The sequence below is a fragment of the Homo sapiens genome, chromosome 17 (genome assembly GCF_000001405.40).
Source record: "Homo sapiens chromosome 17, GRCh38.p14 Primary Assembly".
Classification (NCBI taxonomy): Eukaryota; Metazoa; Chordata; class Mammalia; order Primates; family Hominidae; genus Homo; species Homo sapiens.
Genome location: NC_000017.11, coordinates 2,689,341 through 2,713,061, shown reverse-complemented (window position 1 = coordinate 2,713,061; position 23,721 = coordinate 2,689,341). Strand labels below are relative to the sequence as shown.

At 62.4% G+C, this 23,721-nt stretch overlaps 1 protein-coding gene, 1 long non-coding RNA gene and 1 other non-coding gene across 13 annotated transcripts, besides 10 other annotated features; 2 read left to right on the top strand and 1 right to left on the bottom strand.

The window, feature by feature from the left end:
- Nucleotides 33–928: an enhancer, noted in NCBI's record as "H3K27ac-H3K4me1 hESC enhancer chr17:2615428-2616323 (GRCh37/hg19 assembly coordinates)". NCBI's record gives its function as "activates a minimal SCP1, AML or CMV promoter by ChIP-STARR-seq in primed H9 embryonic stem cells {active_cell/tissue: H9 hESC(primed)}" and the evidence as "EXISTENCE:reporter gene assay evidence [ECO:0000049][PMID:30033119]".
- LOC105371592 (uncharacterized) lies at nt 229–753 on the bottom strand. The gene is given in 2 exon segments (NR_136412.1): nt 229–580; nt 663–753. It is a non-coding gene; the product is annotated as an uncharacterized LOC105371592 (long non-coding RNA).
- Nucleotides 929–1,825: an enhancer, noted in NCBI's record as "H3K27ac-H3K4me1 hESC enhancer chr17:2614531-2615427 (GRCh37/hg19 assembly coordinates)". NCBI's record gives its function as "activates a minimal SCP1, AML or CMV promoter by ChIP-STARR-seq in naive H9 embryonic stem cells {active_cell/tissue: H9 hESC(naive)}" and the evidence as "EXISTENCE:reporter gene assay evidence [ECO:0000049][PMID:30033119]".
- Nucleotides 990–1,169: a silencer, noted in NCBI's record as "silent region_8010". NCBI's record gives its function as "represses an Ori minimal core promoter by ATAC-STARR-seq in GM12878 lymphoblastoid cells {active_cell/tissue: GM12878}" and the evidence as "EXISTENCE:reporter gene assay evidence [ECO:0000049][PMID:35858748]".
- CLUH (CLUH binding protein of NUMT mRNA) lies at nt 1,042–23,675 on the top strand. 11 transcript variants are annotated; one of them, NM_001366662.1, is made up of 26 exons: nt 1,042–1,133; nt 8,498–8,700; nt 9,573–9,744; nt 11,005–11,148; nt 11,325–11,449; nt 11,542–11,696; nt 11,797–11,922; nt 12,237–12,384; nt 12,588–12,680; nt 14,472–15,166; nt 16,120–16,343; nt 16,527–16,628; nt 16,803–16,903; nt 17,536–17,688; nt 17,782–17,844; nt 17,961–18,205; nt 18,498–18,582; nt 18,786–18,939; nt 19,023–19,162; nt 20,202–20,282; nt 20,366–20,491; nt 20,580–20,701; nt 20,965–21,058; nt 21,167–21,301; nt 21,380–21,453; nt 22,285–23,675. In NM_001366662.1, the coding sequence occupies exons 2-26, from the start codon at nt 8,512–8,514 to the stop codon at nt 22,466–22,468; spliced, it is 3,930 nt and encodes a 1,309-aa protein (NP_001353591.1). In that variant the 5' UTR covers nt 1,042–1,133; nt 8,498–8,511; the 3' UTR covers nt 22,469–23,675. The 11 variants fall into 11 exon arrangements, with proteins under 11 accessions (NP_001353591.1, XP_047291650.1, XP_011522070.1 ...); XM_047435694.1 differs by lacking the exon at nt 1,042–1,133 and adding an exon at nt 1,298–1,344; XM_011523768.4 differs by lacking the exon at nt 1,042–1,133 and adding an exon at nt 1,298–1,344 and having other exon boundaries at nt 16,524–16,628.
- Nucleotides 1,300–1,419: a silencer, noted in NCBI's record as "silent region_8009". NCBI's record gives its function as "represses an Ori minimal core promoter by ATAC-STARR-seq in GM12878 lymphoblastoid cells {active_cell/tissue: GM12878}" and the evidence as "EXISTENCE:reporter gene assay evidence [ECO:0000049][PMID:35858748]".
- Nucleotides 2,660–2,739: an enhancer, noted in NCBI's record as "active region_11498". NCBI's record gives its function as "activates an Ori minimal core promoter by ATAC-STARR-seq in GM12878 lymphoblastoid cells {active_cell/tissue: GM12878}" and the evidence as "EXISTENCE:reporter gene assay evidence [ECO:0000049][PMID:35858748]".
- Nucleotides 3,997–4,196: an enhancer, noted in NCBI's record as "active region_11497". NCBI's record gives its function as "activates an Ori minimal core promoter by ATAC-STARR-seq in GM12878 lymphoblastoid cells {active_cell/tissue: GM12878}" and the evidence as "EXISTENCE:reporter gene assay evidence [ECO:0000049][PMID:35858748]".
- Nucleotides 5,413–6,309: an enhancer, noted in NCBI's record as "H3K27ac-H3K4me1 hESC enhancer chr17:2610047-2610943 (GRCh37/hg19 assembly coordinates)". NCBI's record gives its function as "activates a minimal SCP1, AML or CMV promoter by ChIP-STARR-seq in naive H9 embryonic stem cells {active_cell/tissue: H9 hESC(naive)}" and the evidence as "EXISTENCE:reporter gene assay evidence [ECO:0000049][PMID:30033119]".
- Nucleotides 12,348–12,848: an enhancer, noted in NCBI's record as "H3K4me1 hESC enhancer chr17:2603508-2604008 (GRCh37/hg19 assembly coordinates)". NCBI's record gives its function as "activates a minimal SCP1, AML or CMV promoter by ChIP-STARR-seq in primed H9 embryonic stem cells {active_cell/tissue: H9 hESC(primed)}" and the evidence as "EXISTENCE:reporter gene assay evidence [ECO:0000049][PMID:30033119]".
- Nucleotides 20,143–20,201, top strand: MIR6776 (microRNA 6776). The gene has a single exon (NR_106834.1). It is a non-coding gene; the product is annotated as a microRNA 6776 (primary transcript).
- Nucleotides 20,836–21,343: an enhancer, noted in NCBI's record as "H3K27ac-H3K4me1 hESC enhancer chr17:2595013-2595520 (GRCh37/hg19 assembly coordinates)". NCBI's record gives its function as "activates a minimal SCP1, AML or CMV promoter by ChIP-STARR-seq in primed H9 embryonic stem cells {active_cell/tissue: H9 hESC(primed)}" and the evidence as "EXISTENCE:reporter gene assay evidence [ECO:0000049][PMID:30033119]".
- Nucleotides 21,344–21,852: an enhancer, noted in NCBI's record as "H3K4me1 hESC enhancer chr17:2594504-2595012 (GRCh37/hg19 assembly coordinates)". NCBI's record gives its function as "activates a minimal SCP1, AML or CMV promoter by ChIP-STARR-seq in naive H9 embryonic stem cells {active_cell/tissue: H9 hESC(naive)}" and the evidence as "EXISTENCE:reporter gene assay evidence [ECO:0000049][PMID:30033119]".
- Nucleotides 23,676–23,721: the final 46 nt, after the last annotated feature.

Genomic DNA, 23,721 nt, shown 5'->3' with positions numbered 1-23,721 from the left:
CTGAGTGATACTCCCAGCTCAGCTCCCAAGTAGCTGGGACTACAGGCGCGTGCCACTACACCTGGCTTTTTTTAAACAATATTTTTTGTAGAGACGGGGGTTTTGAAATGTTGCCCAGGTTGGTCTCAAACTTCCGAATCCTGAACTCAAGTCATCCGCCTGGCTTCGGCCTCCCAAAGTGCTAGGATTACAGGCGTGAGCCGCTGCACCGCCCGGCCGAGAAGAATCTTACCAGTTCTCATCTTCCTTCCTCCCGTTTAAATGCTCACATCAAGTCGCTGGCTTTCCTCACCACGTGCTCTCCAGAACAAGGTCGGCTTTCCTTCGCAATTTGTGCGAGGCCCTACCTAAGGCCCTCCCAGCCCACCTCGGGAAGCTGAAGCTTTCCAGTTCTCATTAGAGCTTGACAAACGCTCCGAAGGTTATAGGCCTCGGGTGCTTCCCAAAGGCCCCCTGCGGCCTGGCCAGGAAAGACCCACCGGCGCTCTCTGCCTGGAGCACTTCAACTCACTGCAAGACCTGGTCCCAATGTCCCCTCTGCAGCATTCTCTGACCTCACCGTTCCGTCCCCGCCAAGCCCCTGCCAAGTGAAAAATACGAGTTAAAGCGTCCTGGCTGTGGATGGAGTCAGACCCGGCTCTACCCCTTGCTCTCTGTGTGACCTTGGTCTCGGCCTCCTCCACTGTAAAATGAGGACACCAGCCTGGAGGTGAGGACCCATGGGTCGAGGACGCGGGTAGGGAGCCCGTTCTGGCTCGGGGCAAAGTTTGGCGGGTCCATTCTGACTCTTGATCCCCATTAGCCACGTCTCGCCCTCGCCTCTCGTGCCCGTGCCCTAAGCGACCCTCCACTCCCTCAATAATCCAGCCGCACCCATTCGGCGGGAAAGGGCCTGCCGGGTGGGGAGGGCGCTGAGGGTCACGCGAACACCGCAGATGACAGACTGCGCGGTCATTTAGCAAATCTGCAAGAGAAAACAGGGGATCCTTGGAGAGGGGAGGATTAGCCATGGCAGAACCAGACCAGTCTCCACCCAAGGTCACAGTGCCCGCCCGACGGGCAGCGAGCAGCAGGGAGTCTCCCCGAGGCCCCGCCCCGCGAGGGCGCCCAGCCTCCCTGGGCCTTGAGTCAGAGTGCGTTGCCTTTAAGACGTTCTGGAAAGTCACCGCGTCCGTGGGCGGGGAACCAGGCGCGGCGCGTTTTGTCCCTCGCGGGCCGCCGTGGGCTGGGCCGGGCGCGAGGGTGGGGCAGGGAAACGGCGGCGGGGTCAAAGGCCACGGCGCGCACCACGTGGGCCGGTGACTCCGTCCTTCCCTCAGCAGCCGCGGCGCGCAGGGCACTTGGGTTAGTGGCGCGGCGGGCGGCGCGGACAGCCGAGGCGGACGCCCGCTCCCGCCACCATGGTTATCAAGACGGACGAGTTGCCGGCGGCCGCCCCGGCCGACAGCGCCCGGGAACACGGCTCGCAGGCCGGGGGCAAGGGGCGGCCGGGCGCGGCCGGTGAGCGGGGCCAGGGCCAGCGGGCCGCTGGGCGGGGGGCGCCGGACCAGGGCGGGCGGGTTCGGGACTCCGCGGGGATCGCCGCCTTCCCTCCGCGTCGGGCCCGGTTGTATCTCGCTGGGGCCTTCACCGGGTCGCCCCCGCGCTGAAGGTCACCTTCACAGTCGCCCCCGGCTGCGGCCCGGGTTTCGCACGTGCGGTCCCGTGGAGGGCAGCCTCGGCTGGCACCCTCGGCGGGCACACGCGCGCCTCATCGCGGGGACACGTGCGCGCACACGCGGTTTCGGGGTGCGCCGCCGCCGCAGACCGAAAGAATCGGCGGCCCCACCCCCTCTGCGCCCGAGCATGGGAGCTCTCTGAGCTGGGGTCGCTCCGACGTTTGCGGGACAGCCCCCTTCGGCACCTGCTCCGCGGCGGCCTCCCAGGCATCCCCTGTGCGCAGGGCTGCAGCCCTGGGAGTGAAGCTCCGCTCGAGGCTTCCCAGGCTTGGTTTGTGGGAAGAGCACGAGGTGCGGGGTGTGCGTTGTGAGGGGCGTCCCTGGTTCATGCCCTGAGGCCAGGCTATAACCGCAGGTCTTCAGGCTGTGGCGGAGACTCTCAGGTGTGTTGGCCTGCTCGGCCGACCTGGTGTAGGGGGCGTCTGCCTTTGCATGGGGCAGAGCCAAACTCCTTGGCAGGGGGAAGTGTTTGTGCCAGAACTTGATCATTAACCTGCCTTATTGCGAAAAGTGGGTCAGACCAGAGTTGCTGTTTTTAAGGCAAAGGTCGTTAGTGTGGAGTCAAGCTCCCAGCGATCCCCCATGGGGGCTGTATGGTGGTGACTGTGGCAGTGGCTGCAGCTTGTCTCGGGTGGGGCCTGCTTTCCCTTTCTCCTGAGCCCCTTCTCTTCCTTCTGTTCCCTCCACCGTGTCTCAGACTCCAGCCTTGGGGCTGGAATCCCCTTCCCAGGCCCTCAGTCGTCATCTTCCTCAGGCCCTCTTTGCTCTGGGTGGCAGTGGAGGTGCAGAGCTACTCCTGTCCCCCAGTCCCTCCCTCCTCCGTCGACTGTCCTCAGTTGGGACTTGTGGTCTTAACGCCTCATCATCTCCCTTCCTAGCTTCAGTGAGTGCGCCAGGGCTGACTTGGGAATCAGGATGGGGACAGCGTTCAGCCCTCTGACCCTGTTCCCATCATAGCGGAGTTGCCTTGGGGTGAGGGACAGGTGCTGGGGCAGTACTGCTGATTGTCTAGACAAGGCCAAGGTTTGGGCAGAAGAGCAGATGCTCATCGCCCCAACCTACCAGGCTTTGTGCTGATGTGGCTCTGAATCAGTGGGGGCAGGCTGGATGAGAGGAGGTTGGCTGATTTCCCCTCTAGCAGAGACCCGAAGAGTCGAAGTGACTTGCCCAAGGTCACACAGCGATTTAGCTGTTAAGGGAAGTGTTTGGATTCCAGCTCATGGCCAGCAAGCCAAGGCTGCCGTGGCCTGGCCCAGAGGAAGCTGGGACAGGCGTGTTGGTTTGGATCCCGTGCTGAGAACTAGGGGGCTGACGAGCGTCTGTTGGAGGATTTCTGTGAGGGAGTCAGTGAAGCCCCTTCCTAACTCTGCTGGGGGTGGGGGGGCTCTGTCGGGGGTAAACTGAGTCAGGGAAGGGCACAGCTATTTGTTTTGGGGAAACTGGGAGCATACTCGTGGGCAGGACATGGGCTCCTACGTCCCTGGGAAGGTAGTACAGCTAGCTAGGACTTACGTTACAGCCAGCCCGGATCTATTGAAAGAAGGAAGGAGCCTTAATGAAGACCCCCCAGCTGGGGCCCACCTGAGCATCAGAACCAAGGCTTCTGACCTCTGAGATCCAGCTCTGGAAGGCTCTTCAGCCCCCTTAGGAAGGAGCTGATCTAGGCCATTGAGGGTCGGGGGCAAGGGTTGGTTACCTTCCTGGGAATACAGCGGCTTTTAGGGGTTAAGAGAACAGGCAGGTTTTTCAGGTCCACAGTGGTGCGTCAGGTTCCTTCTGCCCAGGGGAGGGCTCCCTGGAGTTGAGGCCCAGAGGGGGAGGAGGAGGAGGCTGGCAGCTGGGGAAGGAGTCTAGGGGCTTATGGGAGCTCCGCAACAGGATCTTGGATGGGATGTGGGGAGAGCAGCCTGAGGAACTCTGAACTGTCCTCAGGCCCTGAACGCCTGCCTCTGGCCTGGGTGGGACAGGAAGGAGGCAAACAGGTGCCTGGTCTGTAGGTTCTTCCATAGGCCGCCTGCCCGCCCCATTGCCTTTCCCTGAAGCCCTGGGCTCCCGGGACGGGTGATGCACCTTTTCGGACCCTACTTCCTGCTGGAGCCTCACTTGCTGAGGCCTTGGCTGGGGCGTGGCCTGGCCCTGGCACAGTCTTCTGAGTGAGATTGTGCCTGGCTTGGGCAGCACACAGGTCCTCTGGGAGGCCTAAGTTTCTTTTCTAGTTCCTCCTCTCTGCCGCCTTTGAGCTCCCGGCGCCTCCAGGCCGGGGCAAGGGTGTGCTTTGTCTCTTCACTAGCATCTGAGTTTGCGTGTATGCAGAGTGCTGTTGGGGCACGGCTCTCCCGCTCTGCAGAAGACCTCCTTTTCCCCTCCCCTAAAGCTCACATCCTCAGAGGTGCTCCTGGACTATGAGAGGAGGGAGTATTGGCCCAAGGGTGTAGAGGCCTTGGGGAGTGCTGTGACTGGGATAGTTCTGCTCCCCCCCCCCCGAGTAGAGGCTGAGGCCTGGACGAGGAGGCAGGTGCAGCCTACCTGTGGGTGCTGCCGGGCCCCTCGGGAGGGGGTGGGTGGGCTGCGCTGAGTGGGAGTGGGTCAGTGGGAGCGGGTCCATGGGAGCGGGTCGGCGGGAGCAGGTCGGTGGGAGCGGGTGGGTAGCCCGCGCTCAGTGGGAGTGACTCAAAAGCCATGGGCTTGGGCGTCTGACACTCCTGTTTTTTCTTTCCTTTTTTTTTTAAACTTAATCCCAAATGTGATAGTAACACCTGGTTTTTTCTTGCTCTGGGTTGGCTCCTCTTGCCTCTGTGACCTTGGGCAGCTGCTTCCTAGCCTTCTGGAGCCTCAGTTTCCTCAGGTGAGATGGGCTGGCACGGCGGTTTAGGGAGCTGCCGTGGGCTGGGCCTAGCGTGAGTCCTGGCTCTGTGGTAATCAGAGTGCAGGTGGTTGTCAACACTTCTCTGGGGTCACTGCCAGGCTGCCCTGCCCCACCCCTCTCTCCGGAGGGTTAGGGTGTATTTCAGGAGAGGGTAGGAGCAGAGGGGCTCTGTCTAGGCCTGGTCCTTCTCCTCTGGTCATTGTGTGAGACCCAGAACCTTCCATGGGGGCTGTGAAGCAGCCCAGGGTCTGCCTGATCCCTGGTCCTGGAGGGGAGGGGATGGAGTGAGAGCCTGGCTCCCGCCCACCCTGGGTAGGGTGGATGCTGGGGCAGCCCTTACTGGGCACTGGCAGCATGTCAGAGGCCCTGGGAAGGCGCCCTGGCCAGCTGGGCACCTCCTCCCCCGCCGTGCGGCCACTGGCCTCTTGCTGCCAGCTCTGTTCTCCCCTGGGAGAGACTTGGTTCCCTCCTGGCAGAGCCGGGGCTGCTGGGAAGGGAAGATGGAGCCTGCCAGCTTCTTGATGGAGCCTGGAGGCCAGGGGCACGGGTGCAGTTGTCCTCTGGGAAGCTGGGGGCCCATCCCCCTCCCTTCCACCAGAACCAGTGACTCCCAGGAAGGGGCTGGCAGCCAGGTCACCTGCAGGGGGCAGCAGGAGCCAGAGGTCCCAGCCAGGCCCTTGGCCCAGGGACAGTGGGGTGCTCAGTGTCTGGGACTGGTGGGCAGAGGCAGCCACCTTATGGCCTGGACCCGGGTCTGTGCCAGCTGTTGGCGGCAGCTGGCAGAAGCGGTCCTGTTCACCCCCACTGGGATGGGAGCGGAGGAGAGGACCCCCTTGCTGGGCCCTGCCCCTGCCAGCCAGTCTCCTAGGCCCTCAATCTTGAGGGGTCCAGGTACCCCAAATTCTGGGTTCTCCGATCCCCCTAGCGGCTTTGCCGGCAGTGACCCCCTCTCTAGGGGGCATAGGGAGGTGGGCCTGAGTGCTGATAGCAGCTCCCCCTGGGGTCCTGGGGCCACCGGGTTCTCCTGGCCCACAGCCGTCCTTCTGGCCGACCTTGAGCGGGATGCCAGGCAGGGGGAGTGTGCCCTTCCTGGGGCTGCCATGGCAGGCCTGGCCCCACTGAAACCCGAAGCCAGCCGGAGCTCCAGCCCCGGGCCGACTGGCTGCATTAGGGCAAGGGTAGCGGCAGAGGCTGGAACAAGGAACCCGGGCAATGCTGGGGCTGAGCTGGAGAGCTGGCTGCCTTGCTGCCACGGCCATCCTGAGACTCCAGAGCCGAGGGGAGGGCAGCTGCCAACTGCACCAGGTGAGCACCGGGACCTGGTGAGCCAGCCAGCTGCCTGCGGGGGAGATCGCTCAGCCTTCATCCAGGGGTGGGGAGACCTTCGGGGTTCCTAGGAGGAAGGATTAGGGTAAAACATGCTGTCCTGGGGAGAGGAGGCCCCTTGGGAGCCAGCTGCATTCCTTTGAAACGGGATAGGGAATAGGTACCCCCTGAGGGTCGTCTCCCTGGGCTGGGGAAGGAGAGTGGGAGCCGCGGCCACCTTGCCTTGTCGTCCCTCCTTTCTGTCCTCCCATTCCAGACATGCGAAAGAACACAGGCTGTCTCTGTCTAGGTATTTGACTCCCCACTTTTGGGATCTCATAGCTCAAAACTGCTGTTCTATATTGGGTGGGGGCCCTTCCTGCTTCTCCCCTTATTCCAGGGGCTTGGCAGCCAGCACAGCCTTTCTCAGGGACCCTGTGGGGGCAGTTCCTCCACCTGGCTGCCCTGCCTCTTGCTGTTTGCAAGCTGACCGACCACCGCCCCGGCTGTCTTTCTGCTCTGTCACTAGAGTCAGGCAGGTGTGTGGGGCTGCTCACGTGCGAGGGGATTGGGGGTGCCCTTCCTGGGGCGGTTGGATCCTGGAAGGGAGGTCTTTGTACATCCTCGTGGTTCCTGGGAGTCCACTGCAGGCTTGGAGAGGGTGGGGTGGAGAGCCATGACATGCACAGTTACTGAAGGTCCTCAGTGGCCAGAGTTGAGGGAGTGCCGCGGCGTAGGGTGCGGGCTGCAGGAGGGAGTCTGGGGCCCATTCTGACTTGGTTGACCTTAGGCCAGGCTCCGAGCCTTTCTGGGCTTCAAATACCCCTCTTTGGGGTAAGGGGGAAGAGACTCTGAGCTCTTAGAGGTCCTGTTTCTCGTTTGCTCGTGGGGATCCAGGGAAAGGGAGCGACTCTCTCCAGGCCCCCCGGTCTCTGCCTTTCCGTACTGGCCTCATCCCTTCCCTGAGGCTCCTGCTCCGTGTTTCTGGTGGGTCCGGATTGGGACCACACAGTTCTGGGAAAGGCACCTGTCCCCGCTCCTGAGAGCCGGGTGGGGAAGGGGAGGTGGGGTCTAGATGGGATGGGCAGAGCTGGGCGAGCTCTTCTTTCTGGAAGGGAACCCAGGCACTCCTCAGAGTTGGGACCGTTGAACTTCAAGCCAAGCCAGGCAGGTGAGCCTGGCCCATGGACAGATCCTGGGGGCCAAGGTCCTCATCTCCTAGATGGGTGCCCAGGCAGGCCCGTGTCTGCTGGAGGGTTACTGAGAGGCGATCCTTGGCTCCTCAGCGGAACAGGGGGTTCTCCTTTGTTCCACTGGTGCCTGGGTAGGAATGCAAGGTTTTGTCACCTGCTCCCCACCCTGGAGCATGTGGATTGGGTGCTGTCTTCAAATATTGGATGTAGCTAGAGGTTTGCAGTAAGTACTTTATTTGTTGCCTTTTTTGTTGAGCCTGGGCAAGATAGAAGGTGGTGGGTAGAGCTGCTGGTGAGGACGCCACCCTGGGTGCAGCCGAATGTCTCTGGGAATGAAAGGGGGAGGGAGTGTGATTCTGCCATTAAGGGTCATTTGGGCAGGCTGTGGAAAAGGTTTATTTCTCCTAGGCCTTGAAGGGTGAGTCAGTGTTTGCTGTACAGAATGGGATGTCAGGGGCAGCACAGACACAGAAGCACAGCGGTGGGAGGGCGGTGGGAGGGCTGTGGGCGGTACCAGGCTTGCATGGTGTGGTGTCCTTAGACCTCAGCAGGGAGCAGGCAGGAGCTGAGGCTGACTTCAGGTGGGTGCCTGAGAGCGCTGGCCTGAGAAGCTTGGTCTTGTAAGCAGTGGGCTTCCTAGGAGGGTTGCAGGTGGCACTGCTGAAATAGAGGAAATGCCTGCCCTAGGGCAGTGGCTGCAGAGGCCGGGTCCCGTGGGTGGGTTGGGAGATTTAGGGTGGGTGACTAGATAGAGCAGGTGCCAGTTTGAGGAGGAAGATGAGTTCTGTCCCTGCAAGACGAGGCTTCAGTGATGCCTCAGGGACAGCCACATGTTGATGCCTGGGAGGCAGCGGTCTCCTTGGTCCAAAAGGCTGGAGAGAGGACAGGATTGGCCGTGTGAGCCACGGGGCAGGAGTGTATGGGAGGGGGTGGGGTCAGAAACAGGAGAGGCTGGGCCTAGGCACTCCCCTGCAGCCCCCCTGCAGCCCAGGACCACAGCTCAGGAGGGATGGAAGAGGATGGAGCTGGAGAGGGAGGGGCAAGGGCACTGTGTGGGGTCAGAGAAGAGGAGAGGAAGAGGGGAACTGCTGCTGGGAAGCTAGGTGTGTTAGGGCCGGAGGAGACCCTCGGGCTTGGCTTGAAGGGTGGCTTTGGTGACCCTGGGGAGAGTGGTTTGGGACATGGGTTCAGGTGCAAGCCATACCACAGTGGGCCAGGGAACAGTGGCTGGGAGGGGCGGCTGGGTGTGGAAGTGGCCTGCAGGTGCACGGAGGGCGAGGCGCGACCGTGAGGCTGGGACTCTCGAGGGCATGCAGATGCCTTTCCAGAAGGCACGTGTCCCCGTGTGGGGTCAGGCGGACAGCCCCGCCGACCAGCGAGGCTGCCTGATTCTGACCCGTTCTTGTCACCCGCAGAGCTGCCATCAGTCATGCTCTTAAACGGGGACTGCCCAGAGAGCCTGAAGAAGGAGGCGGCGGCGGCCGAGCCACCCAGGGAAAATGGGCTTGACGAGGCCGGCCCGGGAGATGAGACCACCGGCCAGGAAGTCATTGTCATTCAGGACACGGGCTTTTCTGTGAAGATCCTCGCCCCTGGGATCGAGCCCTTCTCCCTGCAGGTAAGATGGAGGAACGGGTGCTGGGGGCCAGGCCTGAGCCTGCTGGGGAGGGTGAGCTGGAAAGCTCAGCCTTGCTCGTGCTCCTACCGGCCCCATTTTGTGGCAGGAAACTGAGGATCCCGTGCCCTCCCTAGAGTCACTCAGCTAGCGTGGTGGACGTGGGAATCGAGCCCAGGGTCAGGTCGTTGCCCCATTGCTAGAGGACAGCAACCAGCTGGGCCTGCCAGCCCTATGTGGGGAGGGGAGTGATAGTGGCTGGGAAGTGTTGGCATCCCAGGACTCCCCAGCCTCTTGCTCTGTGCCCTCAGGCAAGTCACCTCTCTCTGGGCCGTGATTTTACCATCTGCCAGAGGGGAGGGTAGTATTGGGTTATCTCCAAGGGCAGAGCCAGCGTGGAGGTCTTGCAAGCCGGTGACTCAGTGGGGAACGAGACAGGGTCGTCGTATGTCTCGGCACCCGCAGGCTTGGGCCCCAGAGCACCCCTTCTGGAAGGGGAAAGCCATTTGCCCCAGGCACCTTAGCACTGGGCAAGGCCGGGGGCGAGCCTGCCGTCTTCTGTCCCGCTGTTCTTCATCTCCCTTCTCTGCTCGGGCATTGCTCTGGGTCTGCAGGCCGAGTCGGTGGGCCAGGCTCCAGGCTGCACACACAGGGCATGGCATGTGTGGACATGGCCTGGATTTAAAAGCCAGAAAGTGGGATAGCCGATATTCGAGTATTTGGGGCATTTATTCTGGGGACCAAGGTACTTTGGGCTGGGGACAAGGGGATATTGTCCTTGCTGTCCGCTACGTGGCCTCTCACCGGGGCGGTTGGGGCCTTCTCTCCCCGCTACGTGCTCTCTCACCGGGGTGGGCGGGGCCTTCTCCCTGCAGGTGTCCCCCCAGGAGATGGTGCAGGAGATTCACCAGGTGCTCATGGACCGGGAGGACACGTGTCACCGCACCTGCTTCTCACTGCACCTGGATGGCAACGTGCTGGACCACTTCTCGGAGCTGCGCAGCGTCGAGGGGCTGCAGGAGGGCTCTGTGCTGCGTGTGGTGGAAGGTTGGTCTGGAAGTTGGACAGCCTGCCCGGGGGAGGGCCCACGGAGGCAGAGGCAGGCAGCACCATCCATGCCAGGGTCCCTGTGTCACGGATGAGCTCATGGAGGCAGGATTGGAGCACAGATCTGCTTCTCAGGCCAGCACACCTATATCTGCCAACTTCACGGCCCATGGGTTAAAGAACAGAGCCGTGGGCTGGGCATGGTGGCTCACGCCTGTAATCCCAACACTTTGGGAGGCCAAGGCGTGTGGATCACCTGAGGTCAGGAGTTGGAGACTTGCCTGGCCAACATGGTGAAACCCCATCTCTACTAAAAATACAAAAAGTTAGCTGCGCGTGGTGGCAGGTGCCTGTAATCCCAGCTACTCGGGAGGCTGAGGCAGGAGAATCACTTGAACCTGGGAGGCAGAGGTTGCAGTGTGCCCGGATCGTGCCACTGCACTCCAGCATGGGCAACAAGAACGAAACTCCGTCTCAAAAAAAAAAACAAAACAAAAGAACAGAGCCGTGATTCTAAAAAAAAAAAATCAGGCAGTACCATCCCAGGGCGTGAAGTCAGCGCAGTTCAGTTCTGTAGAGATCCATGAGAAGTCCCAAACGTTTCCTAGCCCTAGAGTGGGGAGGTCGGGCACGGGGAGGTGCCATCCGGTTGGTCTGTGGCCTCGAGTTTTCTGGGTAGAAGCTGCTTGGGTTCCACCCCAGGGCCTGTCCGCCTGTTGAGAGCAGTGACGGAAAAGGTCTGTAGCTCAACAGCGCCCACAGTTGATCACGGAACCTCTCCCCTCCACCAAAAGAACTGCCATTAAAATCCCATGAAACCACATAGGGGCAGTGTTGACATTGGGGGCCTTGGAAAGTCCTCAGGCCACCCCTACATGAGGCTGCCTCGGGAGAGCAGGGCAAGGCTGTGGTGTGGAAGTCCCACAGCTCCAAAAGCCCTGCCCAGCCGACACACTGGCGCACAAAAGCAGGCAGCCTTGTGGACGCCTGAGGCCTGTGTGTGCTTCAGAGGCATTTGGCAGAAAGTTCTTTATAAACAAAGATCCCTGCTCACCAGTAGGCAGAGTGTGTGTGTGTGTGTGTTTGTGGTGTCAAAACCAGAACTCCAGCTTATGTGTTCACAGTGGAATTTGAAAACGGAAACCTAAAGTTGAAAATTAAAACCACTGTGTTAGCACCTCCAAAACCTGTTTTGTGCTGGGCAGGTTGTTCAGGGTGCAGGGCCCTGGTAACGCCATACCCTCCCTGCCTTCCTGACAGAGCCGTACACGGTGCGTGAGGCCCGCATCCACGTGCGCCATGTCCGAGACCTGCTCAAGAGCCTGGACCCATCCGATGCCTTCAACGGGGTTGACTGCAACTCCTTGTCCTTCCTGAGTGTCTTCACCGACGGCGACCTGGGAGGTGCGGGAGGCACTGGGGCCGGGGATTGGGCCAAAGGGCGGGGAGCACGGAGGTGGGGGGCTGGAGAAGGGGCCGAGGGGCCTGGGCCTGAGGCACCCGGACCACGGCCATCAGGAGGTAGGGAGACAGCTGGCCCTGGGTGGCCCTGTGCTGACCACCAGCCTCGGGTCCCTCAGACAGCGGGAAGCGGAAGAAGGGCTTGGAGATGGACCCCATCGACTGCACACCACCCGAGTACATCCTGCCAGGGAGCCGGGAGCGGCCACTGTGTCCCCTGCAGCCCCAAAACCGTGACTGGAAGGTAGGATCCTGGGGGAGGGAGGAAGAGGGTCCCTGGCGGGGTGGAGGCCCCACACCAGAGGCCTGGCCCCTCAGACTCGGCCGCTCCCGAAGCCCTTGCAGTGCCTGAAAGTACTCACCATGAGCGGATGGAACCCGCCCCCGGGGAACCGGAAGATGCACGGGGACCTCATGTACCTGTTTGTGATCACAGCCGAGGACCGGCAAGTCAGCATCACCGCGTCCACACGGGGCTTTTACCTGAATCAGTGAGTCCCTGCCAGCCCACCACACCCCCCTGCCGTGCCAGCCGTCCTGGGTCTGGGCAGACACCTGGGCCCCCGCTCAGTGCCCGCCCTCTCCCTGCAGGTCCACAGCTTATCACTTCAACCCCAAGCCCGCCAGCCCCCGCTTCCTAAGCCATTCCCTAGTGGAGCTGCTCAACCAGATCAGCCCGACCTTCAAGAAGAACTTCGCTGTGCTGCAGAAGAAAAGGTAGTGCCTTTGTCCCCTCCCGCCTTGTCTCATGGCACACGGGGGCATGGGGTGAGCCGGCCCACCTGCACTCCAGTGCTTCTGTCTGAAGAAACCGCCCTGGGCCCCCAGTGTTGGAGTCCCCGCTCTAGGGAGCTGTCGGCCAGTGCCGAGACAGCAGCCGCAGGAGAGGCGCCCGTGCACTTCCATCTGGCTCCAGGGCAGTGTCTCAGGGTGGGAGATGCCGGAGCAGGCGGGGGCCTCAGAAAAGGGGCCCGTGGAAGGGCTCTGAGCTTGGTGGGCTGCCCCATCTCCCCCTCCCCTGCCTGCCACAGGGTCCAGCGCCACCCGTTCGAGAGGATCGCCACCCCATTCCAGGTGTACAGCTGGACAGCCCCCCAGGCGGAGCATGCCATGGATTGCGTGCGTGCAGAGGACGCCTACACCTCGAGGCTGGGCTATGAGGAGCACATTCCTGGACAGGTGCCTGCAACCTGGCCCTGCCCTCGCTGGGCACCCCTGCCCTCCTGGGTGCTGGGCTGGTTCCGTGCACTTCCCTGGAGGCCCCATGCTTGACTTCATTTGGGAGTCTGGGGCTCTTCTCAGGAAGGTAGAAGGAGCGACTTCCGGGAGCAGGTCACAGGGCACAGGCTGAGCTCGTTTTTCCCTCCCTGATCTCTCTGCAGACCCGAGACTGGAATGAGGAGCTGCAGACGACGAGGGAGCTGCCTCGCAAGAACCTGCCTGAGCGGCTGCTCCGAGAAAGGGCCATATTCAAGGTGCCTGCAGCCTCTGCTGACCGGCAGTCTGAGGCCCGCTGTCCACCTGCTGACGGGTTTTCTCATGGAGAGGAGGAAAGCAAGGGAGGCAGGGGCAGCCCTAACCCTGTCAGGTTCCCCGAAGGCCAGTCAGCGTCTCCCGCAGGGTCTGCTAGCCTTCCGCCTCCCAGCAGACCATCCCAGTACCTTTCTCTGGCCTCTCTGAGGCTTTGAGTCCCTGGAAGGAGCGGGCCCTACTTCCCATAGGGACTGAGTGTCCAGGGCCGTGCAGCTTCCCGCCCTCTGTGACTGCTGCGGGGCTTTTGCCTGGGCGAGCACTGGCCGGCCATGGCCCTTCTAGGGCGGGTGCTCATTTGCATAACACTTTTAGTTTGCTGGGGTTTAAAAGTTATTAGTGCTGGGTTACTAAGAGAAATGAGGAAAAGCAGTTGCTTAAGAAAAAAAAAATCTCAGGCCGGCTTCAGTAGCTCATGCCTGTAATCCCAGCACTTTGGGAGGCCGAGGCGGGCGGATCACAAGGTCAGGAGTTCAAGACCAGCCTGGCCAATATGGGGAAACCCCATCTCCACTAAAAATACAAAAATTAGCTGGGTGTGGTGGCGCATGCCTGTAGTCCCAGCTACTCGGGAGTCTGAGACAGGAGAATTGCTTGAACCCAATAGGCGGAGGTTGCAGTGAGCCGAAATTGCATCACTGCACTCCAGCCTGGGCGACAGAACAAGACTACGTCTCAAAAAAAAAAAAAAGAAATCTCAGCCAGGCACAGTGGCTCACGCCTGTAATCCTAGCACTTTGGGAGGCTGAGACAGGCAGATCACTTGAGCCCAGGAGTTGGAAACCAGCCTACGAAACATGGTGAAACCTCGTCTCTGCAAAAAATACAAAAGATTAGCCAGGCATGGTGGCATGTGCCTGTAGTCCCAGCTACTCGGGAGGCTGGAGTGGGAGGATGGCCTGAGCCAGGGGAAGTCGAGGCTTCAGTGAGCTCGGATCTCGTGCCGCTGCATTCCAGCCTTGGCAACAGCGTGATACCCTGTCTGAAAACAACCAACCTCCCATAGTTATACTGCCTAGAGATGATAATTGTAGAAACAAAAACTCATTTCTCGGGTACCGACTTCACCAGAGATGGTGCCAAGTGCGTTATAGAGACTATTTCCTATAATATATTGGACAACTTGTAAAGGTCAATACCTTTATCTGTTCAAGTTCACCTGGCACATAACTGGTGGATCCCAAACCTGCGCACGCTTGTTAATCACTAAGCCCTGCTGTCTCCCTCAGCACAAGTGTATTCTCAAAACATGGGGGTTTTGGTTTGTTTGCGCTTTTTTAGAAATGGAGTCTCACTCTGTCCCCCAGGCTGGAGTGCAGTGGTGTGATTTCGGCTCACTGTAACCTCCACCTCCCGGGTTCAAGCAATTCTCCTGCCTCAGCCTGTCGGGTGGCTGGGACTACAGGCGCGCGCCACCTCGCCTGGCTGATTTTTTTTGTATTTTTATTAGAGATGGGGTTTCACCATATTGGTCAGGCTGGTCTCGAACTCGTGACCTCAAGTGGTCTGACCGCCTCGGCCCCTCAAAGTGCTGGGATTACAGGTGTGAGCCACCGCGCCCGGCCAAAACATGGTTTTCTTGCCCTTTTCTACATATGAGGAAACTGAGGCTCCGGGTCCTTGGGTTTCCAAGGCAGGCCCGGTTGCCTCCGCGGTCTAGGTGCGTGCGCTTGGCCAGGTGGATGCAGGCTCTTGTGGGCGCGGCCTCTAACCCTGCCCTCCTCGACCCCCGCCAGGTGCACAGCGACTTCACCGCGGCAGCCACCAGGGGCGCCATGGCCGTCATTGACGGCAACGTGATGGCCATCAACCCCAGCGAGGAGACCAAGATGCAGATGTTCATCTGGAACAACATCTTCTTCAGCCTGGGCTTCGACGTCCGAGACCACTACAAGGACTTCGGGGGGGACGTGGCGGCCTACGTGGCGCCCACCAACGACCTGAATGGCGTCCGCACGTACAACGCGGTGGACGTGGAGGGGCTGTACACGCTGGGCACGGTGGTGGTGGATTACCGCGGCTACCGGGTCACGGCCCAGTCCATCATCCCCGGCATCCTGGAGCGGGACCAGGAGCAGAGCGTCATCTACGGCTCCATCGACTTCGGCAAGACCGTGGTGTCACACCCGCGGTACCTGGAGCTGCTGGAGCGCACGAGTCGGCCCCTCAAGATCCTGCGGCACCAGGTGCTCAACGACCGTGACGAGGAGGTGGAGCTCTGCTCCTCGGTCGAGTGCAAGGGCATCATTGGCAACGACGGGCGCCACTACATCCTCGACCTGCTGCGCACCTTCCCCCCGGACCTCAACTTCCTGCCCGTGCCTGGCGAGGAGCTGCCTGAGGAATGCGCCCGCGCCGGCTTCCCCCGCGCCCACCGGCACAAGCTCTGCTGCCTGCGCCAGGAGCTGGTGGACGCCTTCGTGGAGCACAGGTGAGGGGCGGCCCTGCCGGACCAGGGCCGGGGCCAGCTGCAGGGAGTGCGGGCGCCCTGGGTGGATCCGGGGTTGGGTCCTTGAAGGGAGAAGCGCTGGAGAGTGAAGAAGGGCTCCGTCTAGCCACAGTCATTGGAGACCCGTCCCCACCTGCCCTGCTGTCAGGCTCCCGAGCGCAGAAACCCGGGCTGCAGACTCGCGAGCAGCCAGGCGGGTAATGTGGCTGTGGCGGACACTGTTCTCTTAAGGAGCACTTGGAAGTCTGGGTGGCTGTGACTGTCCCCGTGCTGGGGCGGGCAGGTGGGGCACCGGGGGTCCCCGCCGCTGGTGTTTAGTGCTTAGGAAATGGGGAAATGGCCATGTCAGAGGTCCCACAGCATGAGTAACTCTCAAATGCCAGTGGCTTCCTGTCACTGTTGAGAGCCCTGACCTGGATGGGGAGCTCCTCTTTTCCCATACCCTCCAGAACGCAGCTGCCTTTTTTTTTTTTTTTCTGAGACGGAGTTTCACTCTTGTCGCCTAGGCTGGAGTGCAATGGCACGATCCCGGCTCACCGCAACCTCTGCCTCCCGGGTTCAAGTGATTCTCCTGTCTGAGCCTCCCGAATAGCTGGTATTACAGGCGTGCACCACCACGCCCAGCTAATTTTTTGTATTTTTAGTAGAGACGGGGTTTCTCCATGGTGGTCAGGCTGGTCTCGAACTCCCAACCTCAAGTGATCTGCCTGCCTCGTCCTCAAAGTGCTGGGATTACAGGCGTGAGCCACCACGCCCGGCCGCCTTTTTCTTCCTGTCTTGGGAGATCTTGGTTTTTCTGCGTTGACTCATGCACACCGGCCAGGAGGTGCCCTATGCCTGCGGGGTGTGGAGCCCCAGCTGCCGGGAGCCGTGGGCCAGCAGAGCTCCTCTCCCCGATGTCCAGCTCCTGCTCTGCCCTGTTTCCTCTGCTCCAGGTACCTCCTCTTTATGAAGCTGGCCGCCTTGCAGCTGATGCAGCAGAACGCCAGCCAGCTGGAGACCCCCTCCTCCCTGGAAAATGGTGGTCCTTCCTCCTTGGAGTCCAAGTCTGAGGATCCTCCAGGACAGGAGGCGGGAAGTGAGGAGGAGGGTAGCAGCGCCAGCGGCCTGGCCAAGGTGAAGGAGCTGGCAGAGACCATCGCCGCAGACGACGGCACAGGTGGGGCTGCTGCAGATGGCCGGGAGAGAGCCCGGGCTGGCCCTGCCAGGGTGGCTTATGACCCCCACCTGGGAGAGGCTGGCAGACATCTCTGCAAGGAGCTAGGGGGCGAGGCTTGGCGCAGCCCAGCTCCACCGGTGGCAGAGGGGACCCGTGTCTCATGGAGCCATGTCTCCACAGCAGACCCTCGGAGCCGGGAGGTGATCCGCAACGCGTGCAAGGCGGTCGGCTCCATCAGCAGCACCGCCTTCGACATTCGCTTCAATCCTGACATCTTCTCACCAGGCAGGTGGTGGGGGCCGGCCAGCGCAGGAGCCCTCCAGGGCCAGAGCTTCGCTGGGGGGCCTGGGCCCTTGGGGCTGGTGGGTTTGTCCCCCATCTGAGCGCTTCCCCCGCCAGCGCCAGGCGGCATTTGTCTTGCCACTGCCTGGCTCAGCCTCTCTGCTCTCCCTCCTCCAGGGGTTCGTTTCCCTGAGTCCTGCCAGGATGAAGTTCGGGACCAGAAGCAGCTGCTGAAGGACGCGGCTGCCTTCCTGCTCTCCTGCCAGATCCCTGGCTTGGTGAGGGAGGGGCTGCGGGGCTGGGTGGGGCTTGTGTGGAGGGTGCTGGTCCCTCATCTGTCTCCGACTTGGAGGCCCATGAACACAGGCTCGCAGGAGTGACTTTTTCAGCTTTCCCTGAGTGGGCATCCCCGTTTGACAGATGGGGAGCCTGACCCCCAGAGGTCAAGGGCACAGGCCCTGCTGAGCCCACCGTGTGGGCTGGCAGCTGGTAATCCAGTCTTCTGAGCCCTGGATGGTGGCATGGCTGGGGGACGGGGCCAGAGCTCAGTGGGGGCTGCCCATCCTCCTCCTCCTCCCGCAGGCTCTGTGTCTGGTTCCAGGATGCTGGGTGCTCCCCCAACACCGTGGCCTCCAAGCCTCAGGACACGGGGCTGGGGGTCAAGTAGTGCCCCCAAGCGGGCACCTCTGCTTCTCCCACATGGTTAGAGGGGGCCTGTACCACCACCGGGCTCTTGGTTCTTGGCCTGCGCTCCTGCCAGAGGCTGGGCACATTCTGACATCCTGACTGGGAGCTGGAGCCTTCGGGGTCCTTCTCCAGGGCCTCCCAGGATAGCTGTGCTCCCCCAGAAGGACTCAGTTGGGTGGAGGCAGAGGAGCTGGGTGGGGGCCTGAGCTGCTGCAGCCCGCAGGTGAAGGACTGCATGGAGCACGCGGTCCTGCCCGTGGACGGGGCAACGCTGGCAGAGGTGATGCGCCAGCGGGGCATCAACATGCGCTACCTGGGCAAGGTGCTGGAGCTGGTGCTGCGGAGCCCGGCCCGCCACCAGCTGGACCACGTCTTTGTGAGTGCTGCCCGGGGTGGGGCGGAACGGGAGCTGTGGGACTGGGATGGAGGCCGGGGGCCTGACCAAGACCTCCCTTCTGAATCCTTCCAGAAAATCGGCATTGGAGAACTCATCACCCGCTCGGCCAAGCACATCTTCAAGACGTACTTACAGGTGCCACCCGTCCGCTCTGCGGCTGGCCATGGCCTCCCAGGGTGGTGTGGGGCGTCGGGAAAGAGCCTGAGGTGGGGCTGAGGGCCCTCATGACTCGGATCCAACCTGCCTCGCAGGGAGTCGAGCTCTCCGGCCTCTCAGCCGCCATCAGCCACTTCCTGAACTGCTTCCTGAGCTCCTACCCAAACCCCGTGGCCCACCTGCCCGCCGACGAGCTGGTCTCCAAGAAGCGGAATAAGAGGAGGAAAAACCGGCCCCCGGGGGCTGCAGATAACACAGCCTGGGCTGTCATGACCCCCCAGGAGCTCTGGAAGAACATCTGCCAGGAGGCCAAGAACTACTTTGACTTCGACCTCGAGTGGTGCGTGCGGGGCAGGGGCGGTGGGGTGGGTGGGATTGGGCAGATGAGGCGGCCACCACCTGCTCCCAGATGGCGTCTAAGGCCTGTGGTCATAGGCCAGGGAGTCAGAGAGAAGAGGGAGCAGCTGTGGAGATCACTGGGTGCTGGAGGGTGAGGGCAGCCGGGAGGCTCCCGGGGGCCGGGTGGGGCAGTGTTGGGGGCCCGGGCTGGACAGCGTTGGGGAGCTGGGTGGGGCGGTGTTGGGGGGGCCCGGCGGTGCTTGGGCTGCTCAGGCCCCCTGCTCCCTCCTCAGTGAGACCGTGGACCAGGCTGTGGAGACCTACGGCCTGCAGAAGATAACGCTCCTGCGGGAGATCTCGCTGAAAACAGGGATCCAGGTGGGCATGGCTCACAGCATCCCCGCTGTGTCCCCGCTGTGTCCCCGCTGCGTCCCTGCTGCAGGCTCCCACTCCTGGCCAGGGCCACAGGGGAAGTGGCTTTTTCACGGTAGCCGTCTGTGCGCAAGCGTTGGTGGGTTGGGAGGTGCCAACCCGCTGAACCTGGGCCTGAGGCTTCCTGTGGTGGGGGGGCTGCCCCCCAGGTCCTGCTGAAGGAGTACAGCTTCGACAGTCGCCACAAGCCCGCGTTCACCGAGGAGGACGTGCTCAACATCTTCCCCGTGGTCAAGCACGTCAACCCCAAGGCCTCGGATGCCTTCCATTTCTTCCAGAGCGGGCAGGCCAAAGTGCAGCAGGGTGTGTGGCCAGGTGGGGCTGGGTGGAGGTGGGGGTTCCCCATGGCCCGTCCTGACCTTGCCACCCCTGGGGGTGCCCTGCAGGCTTCCTGAAGGAGGGCTGTGAGCTCATCAATGAGGCCCTGAACCTGTTTAACAACGTCTACGGAGCCATGCACGTGGAGACCTGCGCCTGCCTGCGCCTCCTCGCCCGCCTCCACTACATCATGGGCGACTACGCAGAGGTACCCTCTGGGCTGTGGCAGCAAAGGCCTGGCCTCGTGTTGGGGGATGGGGAGTGAGGGGGCCCCTGACGGAGGAGTGGGTGGAGTCCAGGGAGACCCCAGGAAGTCGCTGGTTCTGCCCAGGCCACCCCTGGCTCCACCCCTCTGTAACTGTGTCCCGAGCGGGAGAGCTCAGGAGCACCCTGTGCTGCGGTGAGGTCAGTTCTGGGAGGCGATGGCAGGGGACCCCCCCACAGGGCGTCAGCAAGGACGCCTCCTGAGACTCCGTGAGTGGGCAGGAAGCATGCCACCGAGCTCCCACGTCCTCTGTGCCCAGTGCAGGCTGTGGGGTTCTGGGTGCCCTGCCTGGCCGGGGCTGGTGGAGGCTGTGGTGGGGTTCTGGGTGCCCTGCCTGGCCAGGGCTGTTTCAGGGTTAGCATGTCTTAGGATCCCTACTCCCTGCAAAGGGACTGTTTTTTCTTCTGTTTATAAATGGGTGGGTTGTTTGTTTGTTTGTTTGTTTCTGAGACAGGGTCTTGCTTTGTCACCCAGGCTGGAGTGTAGTGGCGTGATATCGACTCCCTGCAGCCTCAACCTCCTGGGCTCAAGCGATTCTCCCACCTCAGCCTCCCGAGTAGCTGGGATTACAGGCGTGAGCCAGCACACCCAGCTAATTTTTGTATTTTTAGTAGAGATGGGGTTTCATCATGTTGGCCAGGATGGTCTCAAACTCCTGACCTCAAGGGACCCACCCCTGCTCAGGCTTTTTTTTTTTTTTTGTAACATTTTTAGTAGTTTTAGGTTTGTATTTGGGTGTTTGTGGAGATTTTGTTGGGTGTAAGACATGGGTGTGTGGAGCTCTCTGTGGAGCGTGACCTGCCCTTCAAGGTGTGGCAGCAGCTGCTGCTGATCCCCCTCCCCCCTGCTGCACTGTGCTGGGCGCAGCCGGAGGGGACAGGAGCCTGCAGAGCGGCACCGTGGGCTGCTGGGCCGGGGCCAGGCGGGCTCTGGGTGCAGTGGGGGTTCCCACGCCGCGGCAACCACCACTGTCTCTCCCCAGGCCCTGAGTAACCAGCAGAAGGCGGTGCTGATGAGCGAGCGGGTGATGGGCACCGAGCACCCCAACACCATCCAGGAATACGTGAGTCGCGAGTGCCGCCCGCGCCGGGGGATGCGAGGGGCTGGGTCCGCGGCCACCCTGACCTGTCTCCGCCCCGCCCGCAGATGCACCTGGCCCTGTACTGCTTCGCCAGCAGCCAGCTGTCCACCGCCCTGAGCCTGCTGTACCGCGCCCGCTACCTCATGCTGCTGGTGTTCGGGGAAGACCACCCCGAGATGGCGCTGCTGGACGTGAGTGCTGGGGCGGGGGGGCGGCAGGGACCCAGCTCCATCCCAGGGGACCGGGAGCTGACCAGGGCCCCCCACCGCCTGCCCCCAGAACAACATCGGGCTGGTGCTGCACGGGGTGATGGAGTACGACCTGTCGCTGCGCTTCCTGGAGAACGCGCTGGCCGTCAGCACCAAGTACCACGGGCCCAAGGCCCTCAAGGTGGCCCTCAGGTGAGGGGCCGCCCGTCCAAACGCCAAGGCCGGCGGAGGCCTGCGGGGCAGCCGGCGGGGGCGGGGAAGAGACCCAGTGCTCCTGTCTTCCTCCACCCGAGAAAATTTCTCTCGACCTCCCCCTCTTCCCTGAGCCCTGGACTTGCTGTTCCCCTCGGTGGCTTCCAGGGAGGGATCTACGGGAGACCCCGGGCCCCCGAGTCAGGCCCCCACACCCAGCCCACTTATGCCCTTCCCTCGCCCCGCGCCGCGCCTCCCGGCAGCCACCACCTTGTCGCCCGAGTCTACGAGAGCAAAGCTGAGTTCCGGTCGGCCCTGCAGCACGAGAAGGAGGGTTACACCATCTACAAGACGCAGGTGCGCGGCGGGGGCGTGGCGGGGGCGGGGGCGGGGCGGGGGCGTGGCGGGGCGGGGGCGGGGCCGCGGGGGCACGGGGGGGCCTGATCCCTTCCCGCCTCCCCGCAGCTGGGCGAGGACCATGAGAAGACCAAGGAAAGCTCCGAGTACCTCAAGTGCCTGACCCAGCAGGCCGTGGCCCTGCAGCGCACCATGAACGAGATCTACCGCAACGGCTCCAGCGCCAACATCCCGCCCCTCAAGGTGAGTCCGGGGCGGAGCGGCCCCTCCGGCCCGGCGAGCGCGGGAGCCCCGCTCACCGCTGGTTTCCCCGCCCCGCAGTTCACGGCCCCCAGCATGGCCAGCGTCTTGGAGCAGCTGAACGTCATTAACGGCATCCTCTTCATTCCTCTCAGGTGAGGCCTCCGCCCCACTCGAGTGTCTCCCGGTTGGGGGTTTTTTGTGAGTCGGAGTCTCGCCCTGTCACCCGGGCTGGAGTGCGGCGGCGCCATCCCGGCTCACTGCAGCCTCCGCCTCCCGGGTTCAGCGATTCTCCTGCCTCAGCCTCCCCAGTAGCTGGGATTACAGGTGTCCGCCACCTCGCCCGGCTCATTTTTGTGTTTGTAGTAGAGATGGGGTTTCACCACGTTGACCAGGCTGGTCTCGAACTCTTAACCTTGCGATCCGCCCGCCTCGGCCTCTCAGAGTGCTGGGATTCCAGGCGTGAGCCATCGCGCCCGGCCCGCCCCGCTTATCTTCCCCAGCATCCTCGCATTCCGCGAGTGAAGACCTTGGTGTTTCTGCTTCACACAAAGTATCTTGGCGTTTTCCCACCAGTCCCTAAGAAGCGGCTTCATTCCCTCCCCACGCTTCCCATCCTGCGGCGGGGGGGGGCTGAGGAGCAGGCCCCGGGCTCCCCGGGGTGGCCACAAGCAGTGTGGCCTCCTGTGGGGAGTGGATTTGGTCAGCAAGGCGTGGCAGCAGCCCCCCAACTCCGCTTTCCTCCCCCTGCGCTGGAGGGAGGCCACCGAGGGCAGCGAGGGGAGCCCCGAGGCCGGGTCAGGTGCGGGGTCCTTACCTTCTCCGTGTTCAGGGACCTTCCGCCTTCAGGAGGGAAGCGCTTGTTCACACACATTCCCCACTGAATAGAGCGCAGAGCCTGAGCTTATCCCACAGGAAAGCCGGGAGGCGGGTGGAGCCCCCAGGACTCCTCTGAGAGCCACCTCCATCCCCACCCTTATCCTCAGCCAAAAAGACCTGGAGAATCTGAAAGCCGAGGTGGCGCGGCGGCACCAGCTCCAGGAGGCCAGCAGAAACAGGGATAGAGCCGAGGAGCCCATGGCTACCGAGCCCGCGCCAGCGGGGGCCCCAGGAGACCTGGGCTCCCAGCCCCCGGCTGCCAAGGACCCTTCTCCGAGCGTGCAGGGATAGAGAGGGAGCCAGACGGACAGCCAGCCAGCGGCCCCGTCACCAGGGAGCCCGACTGCGGGAGAAGGGGGCGAGCCTGCGGGCGGAAGAGGAAGCAAGGCCCTCTTCCTCCACGTCTCACCCCACCCCACCCCCGTGTCCTCCTGGGAGCCTGGCCTGCCTGCCCCGCAGAAGGTGTTTTTGCGCTGGTTCAATGAATAGATGATGCAGAGGCCCCATTGGAGACACGTGAATGGCGTGTGCGGCCATCAGTTCCCGGCTGGGGGGCAGGTGTTGCTTCGGCCCCCGCCGTCCGGCCGGCGTGTGCGAGTGCGCCCCTGGCTGTGAGTGTTGACCGTTCCTCTCCCCTGTACATAGCCCGAGCCAGTCCTGAGTGGGTGACTCCTGAGTGGGTGACGCGCAGACGGGATTTCTCAGGTCATTTGTATGGTCGACATGATGGCTGCTGCTTTGGCTGCCACCACCCCCGGGCCCAGCCTGTCTGAAAGTTCAGGGTTTAGGCCGAAAAACCCGGTGGGGAGGGGTGGGGAGCCGGAGCTCTGTGGCGGGGCTGGAGGGCTGGGGTGCACTTTAGTTTGGGGCGGGACGGGAGCCGCCGTTGTGACTGGCGTGGTCTGGCTGCTGCTCCCGAACGGAGGGGTCGGGGTTGGCTTGCTGGGCCCTCAGAGCCCAGTGGGTGGCTCTGACTCGGCTCCCTACTCCCTGCACCCAGCTGGGCGCAGCCTTGGGGCCTGCGGTCTGAATGTATCCCTCCCCTCAGTTTTAACCTGAGCTGCCGAACGCACAGTGGGCCGGGGGCGAGGCTGGGGGAAGCGGGGCCCAATTACGGATCCCGGGAGTTACAGGTGCCGACGTGATGTCGCTTCTCTGGTGCCCAGCTCCCTTCCTGGTCTGAGACTAGCTCTGGGGGTGGCGGGGGCCCCCACACGCTGCTCCCGCTCCACCCTGCCCGTGCTGCTGCTCTGTGCCTGCTGTCAGAGCCCTGGTGGGGGAGGATGTGGCCACCCTGAGACCCGGAGGAGACGGGCGTCTGCCTGGGTTTGCGGAGAGCCGCTTATGGGTGTGGTCCGTCCAGACACCTTGTTTCAAGGGGGATGGGCGTGAGCGGGCAAGCAGAGCATCCCCACCGCTGAGCAAGAACTTTTTCTTGTTTTTAAACCATCACGTCCTCATTTCACATTGGAATAAAGTGAGTTTTTGAAACCTGCGGCCCCAGGCTCACCTGTGTGTTCTGTAACCCGGTCTGGGTGGATGGT